The sequence below is a fragment of the Homo sapiens genome, chromosome 1 (genome assembly GCF_000001405.40).
Source record: "Homo sapiens chromosome 1, GRCh38.p14 Primary Assembly".
In the NCBI taxonomy this organism is placed as follows: domain Eukaryota; kingdom Metazoa; phylum Chordata; class Mammalia; order Primates; family Hominidae; genus Homo; species Homo sapiens.
Window position 1 is genome coordinate 91067325 of NC_000001.11, and position 20932 is coordinate 91088256.

Sequence of the window (20932 nt, forward strand, 5' to 3'; positions counted from 1 at the left end):
CACAGAGATATTTCCATAGGCTCAGAATATATCAGTGAGTGAATACTAGAATTTTGACAGTTGTATAAATTGGCATTCTGCTTTATATACCAGTCTTTTGAATTCAGATGTGTCTGTCCCCTAGACACTGTTTGCTTCTGGGTGTTCTGGCAAGAATGAAGTTTCTCAGTCTGCAGAGCTAAAAACCACACCCTGGTCTGTAACGTCTTCCATAACATATTGCTGTGCTTGGAAGTCTTGTCTGGAGCCCGCCAGCCAGGCCAACAACCCATTACTTCTGCACGAGTATAAGACATTTCTCTCCCAACTCAGCACACTCAACAGAAGCATTTAATGTTTTCCAGAAAACCCTTATAAACCAGAAGCAGATCAGGTATGCTATCACTGAAAAGAGCATTACCCTAGGAGTCCGAGGAGTAGGTTTAAATTCCACCTCTGCTACTTGATAGCTTGATGGTTGTGTGTTGTTTAGACAATTTCATCATCTGTAAAACAGGGTTGATAATATTTAACTCATGATATAATCATGAAGATTAAATGGAATAACATATATGAATATGTCTGACATTTAATAATAAATGTTAGTTTTCTTCCTTGCTTCCACTACCTTATTTTATTTCATTTATATATATATTTTTGAGACCGAGTTTTGCTCTTCTTACCCAGGCTGGAGTGCAATGGTGCGATCTCAGCTCACTGCAACCTCCACTTTCGGATTCAAGTGATTCTCCAACCTCAGCCTCCCAAGTAGCTGAAACTACAGGCACCTGCCACCACGCCTGGCTAATTTTTGTATTTTTAGTAGAGACGGGGTTTCCCCATGTTGGCCAGGCTGGTCTTGAACTCCTGACCTCAGGTGATCTGCCCAACTCAGCCTCCCAAAGTGCTGGGATTACAGGCGTGAGCCACTACACCCGGCCTCTACTTTATAATAATGCAGACACATTTTAGAATTTTCCTCCCTCATCCTATCAGGTTTGTGTCTGAGGGGCTTGTGGTCAGAATGTTGCTGATGATAACCGCAGTAATGATAGCAGTAGTACAGAAAAATCAGTGCCAGCTTTTGTCAAGAACATTTGGTTTTCTACATTCCTCCCATACTCCTAAGGAAAGAGAAAAGGAAACTGCATAGATTAAGAAGCAGAGGTCACAAAAGTATGAGGAAAAGCAGCCGAGAGCAATATCCCAGAGGCCAAAGAAGAAAGAATTTCAGAGAGAGAGTGATGGAAATCTTGTAGAAGTTCAAATCAGCTCAAATATTGGAGAGAAATCAACTAAAATAAAGATTGAGAACTGTCCATTGGAGTTAGTAACATGGAGGCCACTGATGGCATTAGCAAGAGTGTTTTGGTGGAATTGGGCGAGAAATCAGTGTGAAGAGAGAGTGGGAGAAAAGAAAGTAGACCTGAAGAGTTTGGACAAGTGTTCTCAAGTGTGGCTATGAAGAGAAGGGAAGAGGTAGGTCAGTAGCTATAGGAGGACACTGAATTGAGAAAGCTCATTTGTTTAAATACAAGGGCACAATACAAGTTAAAATACTGGATAAGGAGGTGACAACAGAGAAGACAGAGGATAACGGAGAAAGGGAAGTTCTTGAAGAGGCAGAAGAGGCTAGGACCAGGGCTGAGGCGGAAAGACAAGCCTTAGAAGCAGGGACAACTCCTTCACTGCAGCAGGAAAAGGCAGGATGTACACACATGTCCATTGATAGATTTGGAGCCAGAAAGTTAAGGGAGCACTTCTTGAATGGCGTCTGTTTTCTCTGTGAAATAGAAATTTAGTTTGTTTTCTGAGAGTAAGGAGGAAAGAGAAAGATGGCTAGATGGTGGAGGGAAGTGAAGAAAATCAGAAAAAAAATAGCATCTGGAGCAGGAAGAGAAAACTGACCAGAGCAGCATAAAAGACTGCAGAGCAGTGCTGAGGGCCCAGCTGAAGCTGATGGGTTTCCTATTGGTGTTGATATGTCAGTGTATTAGGCCATTCTCATCCTGCTATAAAGACAGACCCGAGACTGGGTTATTTATAAAGGAAAGAGGTTTAATTGACTCACAGTTCCACAAGGCTGGGGAGGCCTCAGGAAACTTACAATCATGGTGGAAGGGGAAGAGACACGTCTTACATGGTGGCAGGCAAGAGTGTGTGAGAGCACAGGAAAAACTACCATTTATAAACCACCAGATCTCACGAGAATTCACTTGCTATTATGATAACAGAATGGGGGAACTGCCCCCATAATCCCATTATTTCCCACCAGTTCTCTCCCTAAACACCTGAGGATTACAACTCAGGATGAGATTTGGGTGCGGACGCAAAGCCTAACCACATCATTAGAGCTCTGCTTTCCTTGGCTCTGTAGACTAAATAGCTGGGCCTTCCCATTGTGTTGCATGAAGATGTGCTGGTAAATACTTCACAACTGGCTTTAGGCAGTGTGATGGCAGGAAGCCTGATTTGTTTGTTTTGAGACAGGGTCTCATTCTGTCACCTACACTGGAGTGCAGTGACAAGATCACAGCTCACTGCAGCCTCGACATCCCTAGGCTCAGATGATCCTCCCACCTTCAGCCTTTCAAGTAGCTGGGACTACAGGCATGCGCCACTATACCCAGCTAATTTTTTGTATTTTTTTTTTTTTTTGTAGAGATGGTTTTGCCATGTTGCCTAGGCTAGTCTCGAAATCCTGGGCCCAAGCCATCTGCCCACCTCGGCCTCTCAAAGTGCCGGGATTACAGGCGTGAGCCACTGTACCCGGCCAGAACCCTGATTTGCATCAGTGGTGTAAACCATGACAGATTTCAAGCTACCGATATGATGCCACTGAACTCAGGCTGGGAAAGAGATGCCCACACTATTATATACCATTTCCATGACACAGATATAATGGACATAAATAACTTTCAATGCATAAAAAATAATAACATGTAGTAAAATAATTAGGCAGTGGTGAGTCCGGACTATTTATAATCTTTGTTTTTATATAGCTTTCTTGATTTCAAGTTTATATTATTTAATTTTTAATGATAACTGTTTTAACATCCAGCTTGCAAAATTCCTAAAAATTTTATAATCAGCTCTCTTGAGACAGCATGAGCTGGCTCCAGCATTCCACCCATCGTATAAAGCCAGGTTGAAGTGGCCTGCACTAAAGGATAGAGGGTGTGGGAGGGAGCTGAAACATAAATGGCAAGATTGCTTTCCAGTGGAGGAAGCTTGAGTTCACTATGAAAGAGAGTGGCAAAGGATTGAAAAAAAGCCTGAGTTTGTAGCAGGAAGAGGGGTGTAAGGTGGGATGTGGATCGAGTGTCAAACAATTCAGTACTGGGATAGTTTCCAAGTTTGTATTTATTGTGTGATCCTGAGTTTCGCTCAGTGTATTAAAAACAGTTTATAAAAGTCTTATGAAGCGGAGCAGGAGGCACGATGGAGAGAGGGAGGGGTACTTAAAGGAGAAAGGCAGGGAACAGGATTATGAGCCCAGGGGCAGAGAACCTGGGCCCCAGATAATGTCAGAGGAAAGTCACCCCTGAAAAGGCAAAACAACCTGGGAATCCTGCTGTTGGCAGATCCCTGCACTGTGTTTTGTTATAGGTTGGCAGAGAGATATTTGGAGAATAGAAGCTCTTTTTGGTTTTAAAATTACACTATAGGAATTAATGACTATACCTGAGGATCTCATTTTAAGAAGCTTACTAAATAAACTTAGAAAAAAATTATTTTTGCTTAAAGTTCTCTATATATGGCACAAGAATAATTTTGCCTCAATTCTATTCAATACGCTCTTCTGATATTAGAAAGTCACTTTCCACAAAAGAGCTAATATGTTATGGAGTCAGTTTCACTTTTATAATCATGACTGTGTGTAATTCAGAAGCATGTTTGGTGTAAGAGACCTCAGCAGGCAGCATTGTCACTCTTTTCAGGGAAAATATTTCAGAGAGTAACTGTGTTGTCAATATCTCTGTTTGCAAAAATCCTGCCTGTTCAGGATACAGTTGCAATCACAAAGACATTGACAAATTTCATTATATTTCATCAGATATTAGAAGCAATAACAAAAAGAGGAGGAGAATCTAGGGCAAAAATAGACAAACTTTGTACACACACACACACACACACACACACACACACAAACATGCATTCATGCAGTACTTCCTAGAGAGATAACAATAACATTTTGCAGGAGGTAGGAAGGTTGACAGGGGGAGGCTTTGGAGGGGGCAGGGCAAACACATAATTGCCAGGTTAAGACATTAAAAAGAAATTACTGGTTGCCGTCACCTTTTCATAAAATAAAGGTATTTTAACACCAGGTAGGTAGGAGAAAAAAAATCTTAGAATAAAATTCCTTTTATTATTATTAAAAAGTCAAAAAACAACAGACGCTGGTGAGGCTGGGGAGAAAAGGGAATGCTTATACACTGCTGGTGGGAATGTAAATTAGTTCAGTCACTGTGCAAACCAGATTGGAGATTTCTCAAAGAACTTAAAACAAAACTACCGTTCGACCCAATAATCCCATCGCTGGGTATATATCCAAAAGAAAATAATTCATTTTACCAAAAAGATACACGCACTTATATGTTGATTTCAGCACTATTCACAATAGCAAAGACATAGAATCAACCTAGTGCCCATCAAAAGTAAATTGGCTAAAGAAAATTTGGTACATATGCACCATGGAATACTACACACCCATAAAAAAGAATGAAATCACGTTCTTTGCAGCAACATGGATGCAGCTGGAGGCCATTATCCTAAGTAAATTCACACAGGAACAGAAAACCAAATACCTCATGTTCTCACTTATAAGTGGGAGCTAAACTTTAGGTACACATGGACATGAAGATGGTAACAATAGACACCGGGGATTACTAGACGGAGGTAGGAGGGAGGGGGCAAGGGCTGCAAAACTAACTATTGGAAACGATGTTCACTATCTGGTTGATGGGATCAATTGTACCCCAAACCTCAGCATCACATAGTATACCCAAGTAACAAACCTGCACATGTACCCCCAAATGTAAAATAAAAGTTGAAATTATTTTTTTAAAAAGTCATTTTTAAAGAATACATTTAGTTTATGGGGCAACAGAGGACATTGTTTTTATTTTTCTCATTTAAGGCTAAGTGGTGAAACTATCCTTATTAACCATTGCGGGACAATGATATTTGAGGGTTTGTTTGTTTGTTTGTTTGTTTGTTTTTGAGGCAGAGTTTCAGTCTTGTCACCCAGGCTGGAGTGCAATGGCATGATCTCGGCTCACTGCAACCTCCACCTCCCAGGTTCAAGCGATTCTCCTGCCTCAGCCTCCCGAGTAGCTGGGATTACAGGCATGCGCCACCATGCCCAGCTAATTTTTTTTTTTTGTATTAATAGTAGAGACGGGGTTTCTCCATGTTGGTCAGGCCAGTCTTGAACTCCTGACCTCAGGTGATCTGCCTGCCTCAGCCTCCCACAGTGCTGGGATTACAAGCATGAGCCACAGTGCCTGGCCTGAGCCACTGCGCCCAGAAGGGTTTTTTTAATTTAGTGATTTTGTTCTTTTACCCCTTTTATAAGTCCTTAATATTCTGCTACCAAAAAAAAAAAAAAAAGGGAAGAATAGGAGCAATGTAATATTCTTTTAAAAGTAAGAACTACAAGGGGGTTCCCATTGCTCTGATAAGAAGAAGAAGAATGTGACTGGGAGGAAAGTTTGGTTACCCGCAGTCTGGCATCAGGGAGAGAATGTAGTTCTCCGAACTGGGCTGGCCTAGTTTCAAATCTCAGTCCTGCCACTTACAAACTAGGAAACTATGGGCAAGTCATTGAACCTCAGTTTTCTTCTCTTCAAAAGTACGATAATGATAAGTACTTTCCAGGTGGCCACCATGATTTTATGAGCTAAAATTTGTTAAGAACCCAGTAAAGTGCCTAGCATTCAGCAATTTCTCTCACGTTTTCTCTTCTCCGTATCTTTCTTTTAAAAATGACAATGACAGAAACGCAATCATTTCTTTTTAATGCCCTGAACTTGACTTTATGTTTGGTGACTCTGCTCCCTTTGGACACACACACACCCTTTACTACCCATGCCAATGTTTCTGGTTTGGAAACTGCTGCACTAGCACAGACTTCCCACAGGTGAATGTTTTAAACCACAGTTTGATTTCCTCTGTCCTACAACCCGCACTTTTTGCTTTGGTTAACAACATTACTTTCCTATGGCTGTGGATTTTACAGGTACCAAATGGTCACAGGTTCTCTTGTGTAAACACTATTATCTTGTTTCAAATGAAATAGCTAAACTGACTTTACCTACAGTGGAATAGGGGATTTGGTCACCTTCTAATGTAATGGTTAAGAGTCTGGACTCTAGAATTGGATGACTTGGCTTCACTTCTCAATTTTACCACCTACCAAATTACTAAGGCAATTTATTTATATTCATCCCATTGCCACTTGGTTTCTCCTCCATAAAATGATCATAAGAATAGAAATAGCTAACGTGGACCAGGTGCGGTGGCTCACGCCCGTAATCCCAGCACTTTGGGAGGCCAAGGCAGGCAGATGACCTGAGGTCAGGAGTTCGAGACCAGCCTGGCCAACATGGTGAAACCCCATCGCTACTAAAAATACAAAAAGTTAGCTCAGCATGGTGGTGCACGCCTCTAGTCCCAACTACTCAGGAGGCTGAGGCAGGAAAATAGCTTGAACCTGGGAAGTGGAGATTGCAGTGAACTGAGATCGTGCCACTGTATTCCAGCCTGGGCAACAGAGCGAGTCTCTGTCTCAAAAAAAAAAAAAAAAAAAAGAAATGACTAACATGTACATAGTGCTTACTATATGCTCATCTACTTTACTCCTTAAATGTTAACTCACTTAAGAATTATCTTATGGAGCTATTATGAAAATTAAACATGTTAATATTTGTAAAGAGCATATAGTAGTAAGCCTCTAGCACATAGTAAGTCCCCACTAAAGGTTAGCTATTATGGTTTTGCATAGTTTAGTATTTTCCTTATATGTTTCAAAATAAATTTCTCATCTTATTAATTGGTTTTGCACTCTCATTAATCATGGCATTTTCCAAATTTGATCCACGTGAACCACTGAGTTACTGAGCGTGCTGCTCATGGTGACAAAACAGGCAAGACCCCAGAGTGGTCCTGGCTGCTTAGCTAATGCTTTCTGTCACATGGTGTCCAAGTCTGCCCTGGCTGCTTTGCGTTTCCATACCTCTAATGTTTTATTGTATTTTATTCTACTATGGAAGAAGTATAAGGTTGAATGTCAGTTAAGTCAAATTTAGCACAGTGGAGTGGAGAAGGTGCTTTATTTGTTGCATTAACATTGTCCACAGCGAAGTATTGTGTGGGTTAGATGCTGGGGTTGTGTTAAAAAAACAAAACAAGGCTGGGTGTGGTGGCTCCTGCCTGTAATCCCAGCACTTTAGGAGGCCGAGGTGGGCGGATCACCTAAGGTCAAGAGTTCAAGACCAGGCTGGTCAACAGGGTGAAACCCTGCCTCTACAAAAACACAAAAAATTAGCTGAGTGTGTTGGCATGCACCTGTAATCCCAGCTACTTGGGAGGCTGAGGCAGGAGAATCGCTTGCACCCAGGAGGCAGAGGTTGCAGTGAGCCAAGATCTCGCCACTGCACTCTAGCCTGGGCAAGAAAGCGAGACTCCATCTCAAAAAAAAAAAAAGAACCACAGTTCCTGCCCTCATGAAGCTGACAATCTAGTGCAGGTGACAGCCACATAAACAATTAGACATTTAGCAAAGAGTGTCGGTAGGGGTCTTCATGGGGATGGGTGAGGGGGCGGTGATGGAATGTGATGAGCTTCTCAGTGAGGACCCAGGCTTAGACTCAGCCCTAGGGGCCGAGTAAGGGTAAACCAGATGGAGGGGCAGGTGGCATTCAAAGCAGAAGAATGGTATGAATAAAGGCAGGGACGCTAGAAGCTTGGTGGGTGTGTGTGTGTGTGTGTGTGTGTGTGTGTGTTCATGTGTGAAAAGCTGCAAAGAGTTCTGATCTGCTGGAATACAAAACATCTTCTAGAAGGGGAGGGGTAGGAAGGTGAGTGTGGGCTGTAGGGTAGGAGCGGGAGGTGAGTGTGGGCTGTAGGGTAGGAGCGGGAGGTGAGTGTGGGCTGTAGGGTAGGAGTGGGAGGTGAGTGTGGGCTGTAGGGTAGGAGTGGGAGGTGAGTGTGGGCGGCAGGCAGAGGCCAGAGCATTAAAGACTCCAGAATCCCTGTACCAGCAACCAGGAGCTCTTGGGGAACCAATGGCAAGGTCAGATTTGTCATCTCGGTGTCCTGCGCTCATGCAACGCCCTCTGCCTGAAATGCCTGCTCACTCACACCACAAGAACGCAGCCCTTGTCACTCAAATCCACTTTTCCTCTGACTCCCTCGGGCCAGAGCAGTCTCTGCCTCCTCTAAACTCTTACAATGGTCACTGTATACATGTTATGTCAGTTAATATTCATGGCCCTGCCCTGAGAGTTATTTCTCTTTCAAAATATTTCCTGGCTCTTCCATAAGTTCCTTAAATAGGACTTGCTTCTTCAGCTGCTTCCTGTCCTCCACGGAGGCCATACTAGAGCTGGGACACACTAACTGCTCAACCAACATCTGTTCAATAATCAGTTGTGGCTTTGGGGAGGGAAGGAACCAGGGCCAGATCCAGAAGTCTGACGTTCAGGGGAACTTCCTGCTTGCCAGGCCATGAGAAGGGAAATGGGATAACACTCATGAGATCTTTTTCCTTCAGTTCTCAAGTTACTACACTCCTCTGGTTTCTTCCCAGCTTTCTGGCTGTTCCATCTGAATCCCCTTTGCCAGCTTTTCTTCCTCTACCCTAAGTTTAGATCCTAGAGAGACCCTCCTTTCTTTGGAGCTCTCTCTCCCTTGATGATTTCAGCCCACTCCTGAAGCTTCAAGTTGGCAATTTTATACCAATAGCTATCAAATCAGGAGCTCCAGCCCAGGCCTCCTCTCTGAGCTCCAAAGCCCCTCCCACTCCCATTCCTGATGACACCTTAACCTCTCTGCTTGGGTGAGTGTTATGGACTGTTTGTTCCCCTCTCCCTCCAGATTCCTCTACTGAGGCCCTAACCCCTGTGTGGCTGTATTTGGAAATGGGGCTTCCAAGGAAGTAATTAAGGTTAACGAGGTCATAAGGGTAGGGTCCTGATCCAACAGAATTAGTGTCTCTACAAAAAGAGGACACCAAGGCGCTCTTTCTCTCTCTCTCTGCCCTCTCCAAGGGCACAAAGAAGTCATGTGAGCACACAGCAAGATGGTGGCCCCCGACAAATCAAGAGAAGAGGCCTCAGAATGAAACGTACCTGGTCAGCATCTTGATCATGGCCTTTCCAGTCCCCAGAGCTATAAGAAATAAGTTTCTGCTGTCTGAGCCACCAAGTCTGTGGTATTTTGTTATGCCAGCCCAAGCTGCCTAATACAATGTTGTCATAGGCACCCCAAATTCAGTGGGTCCAAAACTGAATTCATCATACTCTCCCCTATCTTTTAAAACAAACAATAACAGCAAAACAAACAAAAAACCCTGCCTTTCCTCCAGTGTTGCCCTGCTTCATAAATAGCCCAGGCTCTCAGCTGCTCAAGTCAAAAGCCTGGGAGTCTTCTTTGCCTCCTTCTTCTACTTCCTACCTACTCTCCTGACCTCTGGTCTCAATCCTGCAGCTAGACAAAAACTTGTAAAAATGCAGATGAGATCATGTGACTTCCTTGTTTAGCACTCTTCAGTGGCTTCCCACTGTCCTTAGAATGAGCCAAAGACTCCTGCAGACTTTAGCCCTTATGCCTCCTCATCACGCTTCCCCTTAGTCTGCATACCCCAGCACTCCTGGACTTATTTCCATGAGCATCCCAGGCTCTCTCTCATCTCTAGGCATGCTGCTCTCTCTTCCTGCAATGCTTTACACTCTCAATCTCACCCTGACTAGCAAATAAACTAGGAATCACTTGGTGCTGCTATGATTGCCAACATGAACAAGGCAAGAGGTGGTAGGATCTAGAATATTGAATGGTTCAGTCTTGGCTTTAGTCAAACTTCATGTTTCTTATTTACAAAAGCTAGTGATATATCTGTATGTTCTTGTCCTGCATTCTGGCATATGTTCTCACCGGATCCATGATCCTCAGGATAACTAATTTCATGAGTGTGTGCTAAGCCGTATTCTAGGTGTAGTTTGGAGGCCCGTGCTGTACCCTCTCTAGTGTGTAAGTGTTTTAACCTATGTAATGGTCATGAATATTCTATTTGTTCTAGAGAAATGTGTATCCCAGAGATAAGATACAATAATAGGGAATGTGTGCTCCAAGAAAAGAAATATCACAATAGATGTTTTTAAAAATTGGGTTGCTGCTAATGTCTATGCTGTCTTCTAATAATTCCCCCAAGAAACTAATTAAATCTGGGTGTCAACTTACTGAGCAATACTGTATTTCACCAACAATTGAACCAGAGTGCTGAAAGGACATTAAAATTAAATAAATAACTTAATCTCCTCTGTAAAATTAGCATATGATTCTAATTCACACTTATCAAAAAAGAATTTATTTCTATCCAAATTAACCAATCAGTAAATATAATGTAAGGCAATTATATTAGACAATCTTTCCAAGAGATTGAATTACATCAAATTAATCCCATGTTGGCTGAGATTTCCAGGCCAGGTATTTCCAGGGGCCATGTGTGATGAATATTTGTGCCATGTCTGGGTTTCTGTGAGCCAAAAGGCCTACTCATAATCATAACATGTATTACACACATACATAAGAGCTCTACTATAATGAACAGTAGTAAACCATTTTGGAACAATCAAGTAGGAAAGGTTACAGAGGCTAATGGCTATGTTGAGAAAGGAAAAAATTCAACTACCAGCAATGAAACAGTAAAAAAAAAACTTTATTTCTAGAACAACTCATACACTATAAATGAGTATTTGTAACGGTCAGCACTGTGTCCAGAATGCCTTTCAAAGCTCGATAACTCAATAGTTGTATATCTTTACCAACATCCTATCACATGTATACATATAAATCCAAATCAAAAAAAATTTTCTTCTCATTAGGCACAATTTAATATATTTAAAATGGCAGGCGCGGTGGCTCACACCTGTAATCCCAGCACTTTGGGAGGCTGAGACAGGTGCATCACCTGAGGTCAGGAGTTCAAGACCAGCCTGGCTAACATGGTAAAACCCCGCCTCTACTAATAATACAAAAATTAGCTGGACATGGTGGTGCATGCCTGTAATCCCAGCTACTCCGGAGGCTGAGGTGGGAGAATCGCTTGAACCAGGGAGGTGAAGACTGCAATGAACCGAGATCATGCCATTGCACTCCAGCCTGGGTGACAAGAGGGAAACTCTGTCTCAAAAAAAAAAAAAAATATATATATATATATACACACACACACACACACATATATATGTGTATATATGTATATATACACATATATGTGTGTGTATATATACACATATGTGTGTGTATATATACACATATATGTGTGTGTATATACACATATGTGTGTGTATATATACACATATATGTGTGTGTATATACACATATGTGTGTGTGTATATATACACATATATGTATATATCAAGTTGCCAAAAAATTATTTAAAAACAATGTATATATACATATATACGTATATATGTATACATATGTACATATACATGTGTATGTATATACGCATGTATATACGTATATACGCATGTATATAGTATATACGTATATGTGCGTATATACGTATATACATATATACGTATATATGTATATATGTGTATATATACACCTATATACGTATATATACACCTATATATACGTATATATGTGTATATATACGTATATATAGGTGTATATATACACGTATATATATACACGTATATATGTGTATATATAAATTGTTTTTAAATAATCTTTTGGCAACTTGATAGAAACAGAGAAAAGTTCTGTCCACCTGAGAAAATGGTAATAAAGAACTGCATACCATATTTCTGAGTCAGAATTTGCTTCTTTAACTATTTATGCCAGATGTATCAGTGGGCATTACAGACTCTCTTTGGTTGTCAGTATCCCGAGGGTGCCATAATGTAATTCCTTCTCAGGAAGGAAAGAAACTGACATCATTTCAGTGTTTAATATGAGCCAGCTAGTCAGTTATATGCTATCTAGTTTAATCTCCCTCCAACAGCTTTATTGGTAGAGAGGCATTAACATCCCAATTTTGCCAGTGAGAAAACTGAAGCCCAGCAAACTGAAAGGGTTTGCCTTAAGTTTCATGACTAATTTTGTCAGAGCCAGGGTTAGAACCCAGGCTCTTCAAGCCATCCAAGCACATTTCATTTTCCTCCAGCTGCCTCTCCTAGCACAAACCCATGCTGTAAGAAACTACTCTAACATGTGATTCCACTGAAGGTCAGAGACCAAGCCTGGATGATCAGGAGATGATTGCTGATTGAAGGAGCCACAACAAAATGTCAACCCAAATAGAAACTTCCCTTTCAGATTCAAGGAAGATTTGGATTTAAATCCAGCAATTATTTATTGAACACCTTCTATGACCAGATCCTATGCTATGTATTTATACATGTCTTTTAAAATCATCTCAACAAATGATTTTCTTGTTTTGTTTTAAGGTAACACAAACTTAATATCAAAAAAAAAAAAAAAAAAGGAGTGCACCCTGTGGTTAAGAAGACACAGTTTTGGCCGGGCCCCATGGCACACACCTGTAATCCCAGCACTTTGGAAGGCTGAGGCGGGTGGATCACCTGAGGTCAGGAGTTTGAGACCAGCCTAGCCAACATGGTGAAACCGCGTCTCTACTAAAAATACGAAAACTAGCCGGGCGTGGTGGTGGGCACCTGTAATCCCACCTACTTGGGAGGCTGAGGCAGGAGAATCGCTTGAACCTGGGAGGCAGAGGTTGCAGTGAGCCGAGACCGCACTACTGCACTCCAGCCTGGGCAACAAGTGCGAAACTCCGACTCAAAAAGCAAAAAAAAAAAAAAAAAAGACATAGTTTTGGAAATTTCTCTGCATCCCCTACTCTTGGGAAGGGATGTGATTTCTGTCTTAAAAGCAAGCTCATTTCTGAGATAGTGCCACTGCACTCCAGCCTGGGCAACAGAGGGAGACTCCATCTCAAAAAAAAAGAAAGAAAAGAAAAAGCAAGTTCATTTCAATGCCCAAACATCACTTTATAGACTTGTATGTCGTTCTTTCCTTTAATCAAGCTTAGTGTTTTTCAGTCCTTAGTGTGACTAAGAATTAGGGATGTGTAACCAATTTAGATATTTTTGAGGATGATTTTAAATACGTAATGTTTCTCCTTCAGACTGACCCTAGAACCTAATCCCTATTTCAGATATGATCTTTGGTTGTTGGGGCTAGGGAGGCTGCCACAGTAATGCCCCAAGTCAGAGTCATTTCCTTCTTTGGGGAAACCACCCATCTTTCCTGCAGTCTAATCCTGTAGTCAGAATGCAAATGGACATCCTCTCATATGACTCTGCTTCCCTGGCCTCAGTGATTGGTCGAAGAGATTGGCACATAACCCAAGTTGGAATGACACAACTCTTTCCCAGAATTTTTCAAAGTGGAGCTGTTCAGATTCACAGGCACACTTTCTCCTTTCATGTTGCCACCCTCTGAGAGTATGAGCCTGGAACCACCGGTGCTCCCATGAAGAGGGAGAGAGATAAGCCTGATGGTACCCAGTCCTCTGCATTCCGTCTTTTCTCAGGCCAGCTCTATTCCTGCCTTCTTACAATTTAGCTATGTAAGTTGATAGATGTATCTGTTTTGTTTAGGCAAAAGTTGAGGCTTTGTCTCATCCAGCCAGAATTCTAACAAACTACTTCAATAAAACCTTTTTTGTTTGTGTATTTACTCAAGAGGGAGTATGCTGTAAGAGAAGGCATATAGACTTGAAATGCTATCAAAAAGAACTTTGAATGTTATGAGGCACTGTATGGTATGGGGGTAGAGTGTGAAAGAGAGTTTGCCCAACTCAAGATTGGTCTGTCTGCTGCTGGGACCCATCACAGCTCTCTTCACAGCCTAGGTACGATGACTGCCTCAAGCTGCCTGTTGCCCATCGAGTTGTAGGGCTCCATCCTCTGTTAACCTTAGGCCCACAGACAAGGAAAAGTCCTTACTGTCCTTCCAATGACTGAGCTAACCCTAAGGCCAAATGTGATGAAGACAACCTGAGCACTGGCTGTAGTTACAAATACATATTCACAAGAAATGCTAAACTATTGAACCAACAGAAGCGGGGATAAAGAGTGAGGGAATTTATTTATTTATTTATCGTGAGATGGAGTCTCGCTCTGTGGCCAGAGCTGGAGTGCAGGCATGAACTCTGCTCACTGCAACTTCCACCTCCCAGGTTCAAACAATTCTCCTGCCTCAGCCTCCGAGTAGCTGGGATTACAGGTGCACGCCACCATGCCTGGCTAATTTTTGTATTTTTAGTAGAGATGGGGTTTCACCATGTTGGCCATACTGGTCTCAAACTCCTGACCTCAGGTGATCCGCCCACCTCGGCCTCCCAAAGTGCTGGGATTACAGGCATGAGCCACCGTGCCCAGCCCAGAATTAGGTTTTAACTTAACTATTTTGCTTACTAACTCTGTGAATTCGCTGAGCACCAGATTTTTCATCTGTAAAGTGGGAATAATGACACTTTAACCTTTGGTGCTTTTATACGAATTAATTTAAGTAACTGTGAGCCAGGCACAGTAGCTCATGCCTGTAATCCTAGCACTTTGGGAGGCTGAGGTGGGCGGATTGCCTGAGCTCAGGAGTTCAAGACCAGCCTGGGCAACACGGTGAAACCCCATCTCTACTAAAAATACAAAAAATTAACCAGGTGTGGTGGCCGGCACCTGTAATCCCAGCTAGTCGGGAGGCTGAGTTAGGAGAATCGCATGAATCCGTGAGGCGGCGGTTGCAGTGAGCCGAGATTGCACCACTGCACTTCAGCCTGGGCGACAGAGTGAGAATCTGCCTCAATAAATAAATAAACAAACAAACTATGGAAAGTACCCAGTACAATGCCCATACTAGGTGGCAGCTAATACGTGGTAGTTGTGGTGATGATGTGGTGGTTGGTGATGATAAAGATGGTGGACATTTTGACTGTAAACCATTCTTATACTTCCCAGTCAAGAAATGGAACAGGGGAGAGTGGTTCTTCTTCTTCAGGACCATGTGATGAGTCACTGACAAAGATGAGACTCAAATAACAGACTCATTCTGGAGATTTCTGTGTTCTTAGGAGCCGAAGGACTTAAATGATGGAAGTGCTTAGTTAATTTCATGGCAGTGAGTGTGAATAGTATCTTGCTTTTGGTTTGTTTCTATATTTCAGTTCACAAAATAAAATTTAATGGACGTGTACTTTTAAAATGTCTTTGACTCCAATTTGGGGTAACAGTTTCCTATCTCTTAGATTATTCTAAAAGTGTACTTCTAAATTCTTCCTTCTTGGTTCTAATTTTTTACTAACTTTTCATTTTAAAATTTTCTTTGCGTGTTCTTAGTTAAAAAAATGAAACCCTATTGCATTTTTCCCCAAAATGATGTCTTGAGGAAAGGCAGATCCCTGAGAGGGTATTATTAACTGCATGCTTCTTATAATTGAGGCCTCTTCTCAGACAACTCTGCTGTTTAATCTCAGCTCTCACCAATAACCCTTTCCTCTTTTTGATCAAGTGTTTAATTTCCTTGAAAGATTTTCTCAGATTTCAACTATTACTGAGAGGATTTTCATCTTACCCTAACCCTTTAATGGCTAAATCTTGCATATCCATTATTTCAAAAAAGGATATTTCTGTTCATCTAAGTAAATAGTTCAAGGATTTGATCTTCTTTTCTTGCCTATTACTGCTGAAATGAGGAATTATTTGGAAATTTCTATTGCTAAATGACTATCTTGTAAAAGCAGGTAAAATTAAACATTTACAAAAACCGATCTCAGACAACTCTCAGTTACCTAGAGGAATGTAGAACAATGCATAGATTACTGAAAACAGATAAACTCCTGAGCCTGATTGTGGTCATTCTTTTACTTTCTTCTTTGAAAGGCAAAATGTATGTGTTTAACATTCAGTTCAGTTTTTCTACCCATCTTTAAAAGCTTTCTAATTTTAGGAAAACATGAGCTTTTCAGAAAGAGGTAACAAGAAAAAAAAAAGAATAGCCAGGATAAAATTAAAATCTAGGGGTAAGAATTATTGCTATTAATATTTTAGTATAAAAGGAATATAATTTTTAAGAAATTTTTTTGAGACAGGGTCTTACTGTCACCCAGGCTGGAGTGCAGTGGCATGATCTTGGCTCACTGCAACCTAGACCTCTGGGGCTCAAGCAATCCTCTCACCTCAGCTCCCCAAGTAGCTGGGACTACAGGCACATAACAAACCCAGCTAATTTTTGTATTTTTTTGTAGAGACAGTTTACCCATGTTGGTCAGGCTGGCCTTGAACTCCTGAGTGCAAGCAGTCTGCCCACTTTGGCCTCCCAAAGTGCTGGGATTGAAATCGCCTTTGCAAAATTATGACTGAGACAGTGAAAGAGATCTAACTTAACTAACTCCATCTTGCTTGGAACCTCCAAGCTGTCTTTGTTCATTCCTGAGCCTAGGCTGAACTAACTTTGGGAGAAACTTAGTTTATAGTTTAAACAAAGATGGTAACAGCCGTTTCCCAAAGCAGACTTCCTTCTTGCCTGGGGACTAGATTGCTTTGTAGGACTAACATTAGCCACAAGATTAGAAATTATGGTTTAGGAATCATGCAGTTGGAGGATGCAAGATTCTGACCCCCTTTAAACCGCTCCTAAGATCAGTGCTTGAGATATTTTGCAGACCCTGCACTTGATGGATCAGCTGGCACCACCCAGATCAATAAACTGGCTCAGTTGATCTTGTGGCCCCCACCCAGGAACTTACTGAGCACAAGAAGACAGCTCTGACTCCTTGTGATTTCATCTCTGACCAATCAGCACTCCTGGCTCACTGGCTTCCCCCCACCCACCAAGTTATCCTTAAAAACTCTGCTCCCTGAATGCTTGGAGAGACTGATTTGAGTAATAATAAAACTCTGGTCTCCCGCACAGCTGGCTCTGCATGAATTACTCTTTCTCTATTGCAATTCCCCTGTCTTGATGAAGTGGCTCTGTCTATGCAGCAGGCAAGATGAACCCCTTGGGTGGCTATAAATTTGGTTTGCCCTTGTGGCTACCTCCCCAGCGTTCAGTCTCCCCTCCTCCCTCAGCGATGGATCTGGAAGCCAGCCCAAGTGGCTGCCTAGTTGTCTTGGACTGGGGGCTGACTCTGGTACTCTCTCTCTAGCAGGGCACTGCTGACCCAATGTGCATGGATTTAATTGCAATGGAGAAATAGTCCTGGGGAGACGTCTTTTAACTATAGCCCTATGACAGGGTGTCTGTCTGTAGCCCCACTGTGGGGTGTCTGGATTGGTGAGTATCCTAAGCGCTGCCAACACCTCCTTCCTTCTCCTAACTGGTTATGTATCCCTATGGTGGGGTGTCTGTGGCCCCATTGAAGGGTGTCTGTATCTCTACCATAGGGTGTCTGTGTCTGTAGCCTCACTGTGGGATATCTGGCTCCTGGAGGTCTTGATTGGCTCTTTCTAACTGGTAGGAAGGGTCTTGGTTTGGGAGACTTCTCCTCAATCAGGAAAATTTCCAGGAGGTTTCTCAGACAGAAAATAGGAGGATAGTTTGGAAAGGATACTCTTGGAGTTCTTGGTTAGGGGTCTGATTTGGAAGGCCTTCTGTCCATCTCATCTTTGTGTGTGTTTGTATATGTGGAAGGGATCTCAGAGGGGTTGTTGATGGAAGTCCAGCAGGCCTAACTCAGAGAACCCTTCTTATTTGTCTGGTCACATTAGATGAACCCTAAAGAAGGCTCAAGAAGCCTATCTCTTGGGGTGACTATCTGCTCTTCCCCTTGCCCAGAGACCGCATTGTGAATTACTGTTCAGAAGTCGTCCATCCCCACCTGGAGTGGATCAAAGGCAACAGGGACCAACGGGAAAAAGTTTGAGCTTTGCCAGGTTGATATTGGATGCTGAATGAGGTGACTAATGCTTGTTTTGTTGTGTGTATTTTGCTGGGATGGAAAATGTTAATTCAGTTCCCCATGCAGCCTATTGGGCAGCATCTTGCACATTAAGAATCTTACCTATGGTTCCATAAAACAGTAAAGGGTGATTTTCACTTGTAAAGTGACTTGAACCCCACAGCTATAGCACAAGCGAGCAGGGTCATCAGAAGCCGCTCCATTCTTCAGGAAGCTGCAGAGAAAGGGAACCCAGAAACCTGGTATGCTAGTTAAAAGGGTAAGAAATTCTTACCAGCCAAGTTTCTGGTCTCTCTCTCTCTTTCTCTGTGTGGGTAAAACAGTAAACTATTGGTCTCCTCTGCACGGGTTTAATTAATAGAAAAAAGGATTTGTGAGACTAGTCTTAGGCTGTAGCAAATCTGGTGTACTTTGAGCTAAGAATTTGTCTGTGTTCTGTGATTGAGAGAGGGGTATCACAGGATAGAACGTGGGTTTAGGACCACTGTAAGCCTGCTTTTCAAGCCAGCTTGGCAGACTGGTCAGTTGCAAACTTTGCTATGGGTCCCTGAAACCAATGCTGTATGAAATTTCTCTGTCTTTTTTTGTGTCCTTAAGAGCTTAACTGTGTGACCATGTGGGGATACTTTCTTTTGGTTTCCACCGTCCAAAGGACAAGAATTTTGGGGTTCATGTCATAGTCCTAAAAATTTTTCTTGAGCAGTTAAAAGCCCTGCAAGCTTGAAATTGGCTTCTCTAGGCTTCTTCTGGGAAAAGCAATAGAAACTGCTCAGTGCTGTATAGCTCAGTAGCTAAGCCTTTATCTTTTGACAGTGGTGGCCTGGGTTCAATTGTTGGCTTCTGGAATTTTTCCATCTGTTATTTGTGTAACTTTGCCATTTATTGAGTGTGTTTTTGGTAAAAGATTATAAAAAGGCACAGGAATATGGCTTTTAATGAGAAGGTAATTTTGTCTAGTTCAGAGGGTTTTAAAGATTGTCTTAACCTAAAAGAGTAAAGGAACAAAACTGAAGGTTTAAGCAAAGTGAAAAGGGTTTGTAGAGGGTTGATCTTATAAAAATTATGTGGATATAAACAAGTTGGCTAAGATTTAAAAGAAATTATTTAGCTTTTTTCCTTAGGTTAAAACATTAAAATCATATGATGTAGGGCCAGAATTTGGGCCCATGTGTCCAAATAACACAGTTTTCTTAGAAAATTGATCTACTGTTTGATGTAAAATTGTAAAGGGTTCTAAAAAGTTGATGAAAATCTTACCTTATGGTCAAATTAATTAAAACTGGATAGAGCTATAAAATTTTATTTAAAAAACTAGCTTTAATATTAAAGATGCACTAATGTAAACATGAGGTTTGGTTTTCTCTTTTGAAGATGATTTTTATGTAATGTTAAAAGATAATGAAAGGGTTTTGTTTTCTCCTTTGGGTAAATGGCAGGAAAAAAAAGGAGGAGAGAGGGAAGAGACAGAATCAGTTGGCCTCATCCTATCTTCATTGGGTCTTGTTTGGAAAGCTAAGTTTCCTCTATCAGAGTAAAGGTTTTTCTTTTTTAAAAAAATTTTTGGAGTTATCATTTTGCCCAAATGAATGACTTATGGTGACCTGGGATTCTATTTTGTGATATCCAGTGTTTTAAAGCTTTGATATTTGACAAACTTTCCAAAATCAAATTATAAATTATGTCTCTTTCTTATCTAATATTTTAGATATTAGGTCCTCTAAAGTCCAAAAGTGACATTTGGCTTATTTGGTACAAAAATCATACAGGAAGCATTGTCAGATATGAAATGATGTTTGGCTTTCTTTCGTCTATTTTTGTGTAAATGTGTTATTGGTATATGTTCCAAAATTATGTAAAACTCTTATAATTCTAATATTACTTAATATATGTTATCAGTAATAATTATAATTATTATGTTAACAGGCTATGTGCTGCAGATGTAACAAATTTCCTTGTCAATCGTGTCTTTAATTGTGGCTGCCCTAAAATGTTTTTGTCATCCACAGACAATTGTCTTGTTTTGTTCCTGTTTAAAAGATGGTTTTATAATCAGCTATAAAATTTGACAGGTGCTCTTAATGCAGGATTCTGATTAATAACACTGGAGATTGTGACATTAGAATAGAGGAAAAACTTTCAAATACAAGAGTGAATGGTGTTTGGTCTATTTTGGACTGTATTTGTATAAATATGTTATTAGTATGTGTTCTAAAATTATAAGAAACTTCTATAATGTTGCTATAATTTATGTACATTATTAGTAACTATAATTGTTATGTAAAATTTTTGTATGCCACAGAAGTAACCAAAATTGCTAATCAACTGTAGCTTTAATAGTGACTATAGACTTTTGTCATCCACAGACATTTTGGCTTGCTTTGGTCCTTTTCAAAAGGCAGTTTATACTCAGATATAGGACTCTAAGTGCAGGTCTCAGATAAAACTTTAAAAACTGTGCTAGTCCAAACTTCTAGGATTCTCATGGAGAGCTAATGTATTAAATATTGCGAAACCTTTTGTTTTCAGAGTCAAGAGAATTTATTTCTTTAGAGCTACTTTCAACTTTTTTTTTTTTCTTTGAGATCGAGTCTCGCTCTGTCACCCAGGCTGGAGTGCAGTGGTGCGATCTCGGCTCACTGCAAGCTCCGCCTCCTGGGTCGGAGTGATTCTCCTGCCTCAGCCTCCGGAGTAGCTGGGACTACAGGCGCCCACCACCACACCCGGCTCTTTTTTTTTTTGTAATTTTAGTAGAGACAGGGTGTTACCGTGTTAGCCAGGATGGTGTCGATCTCCTGA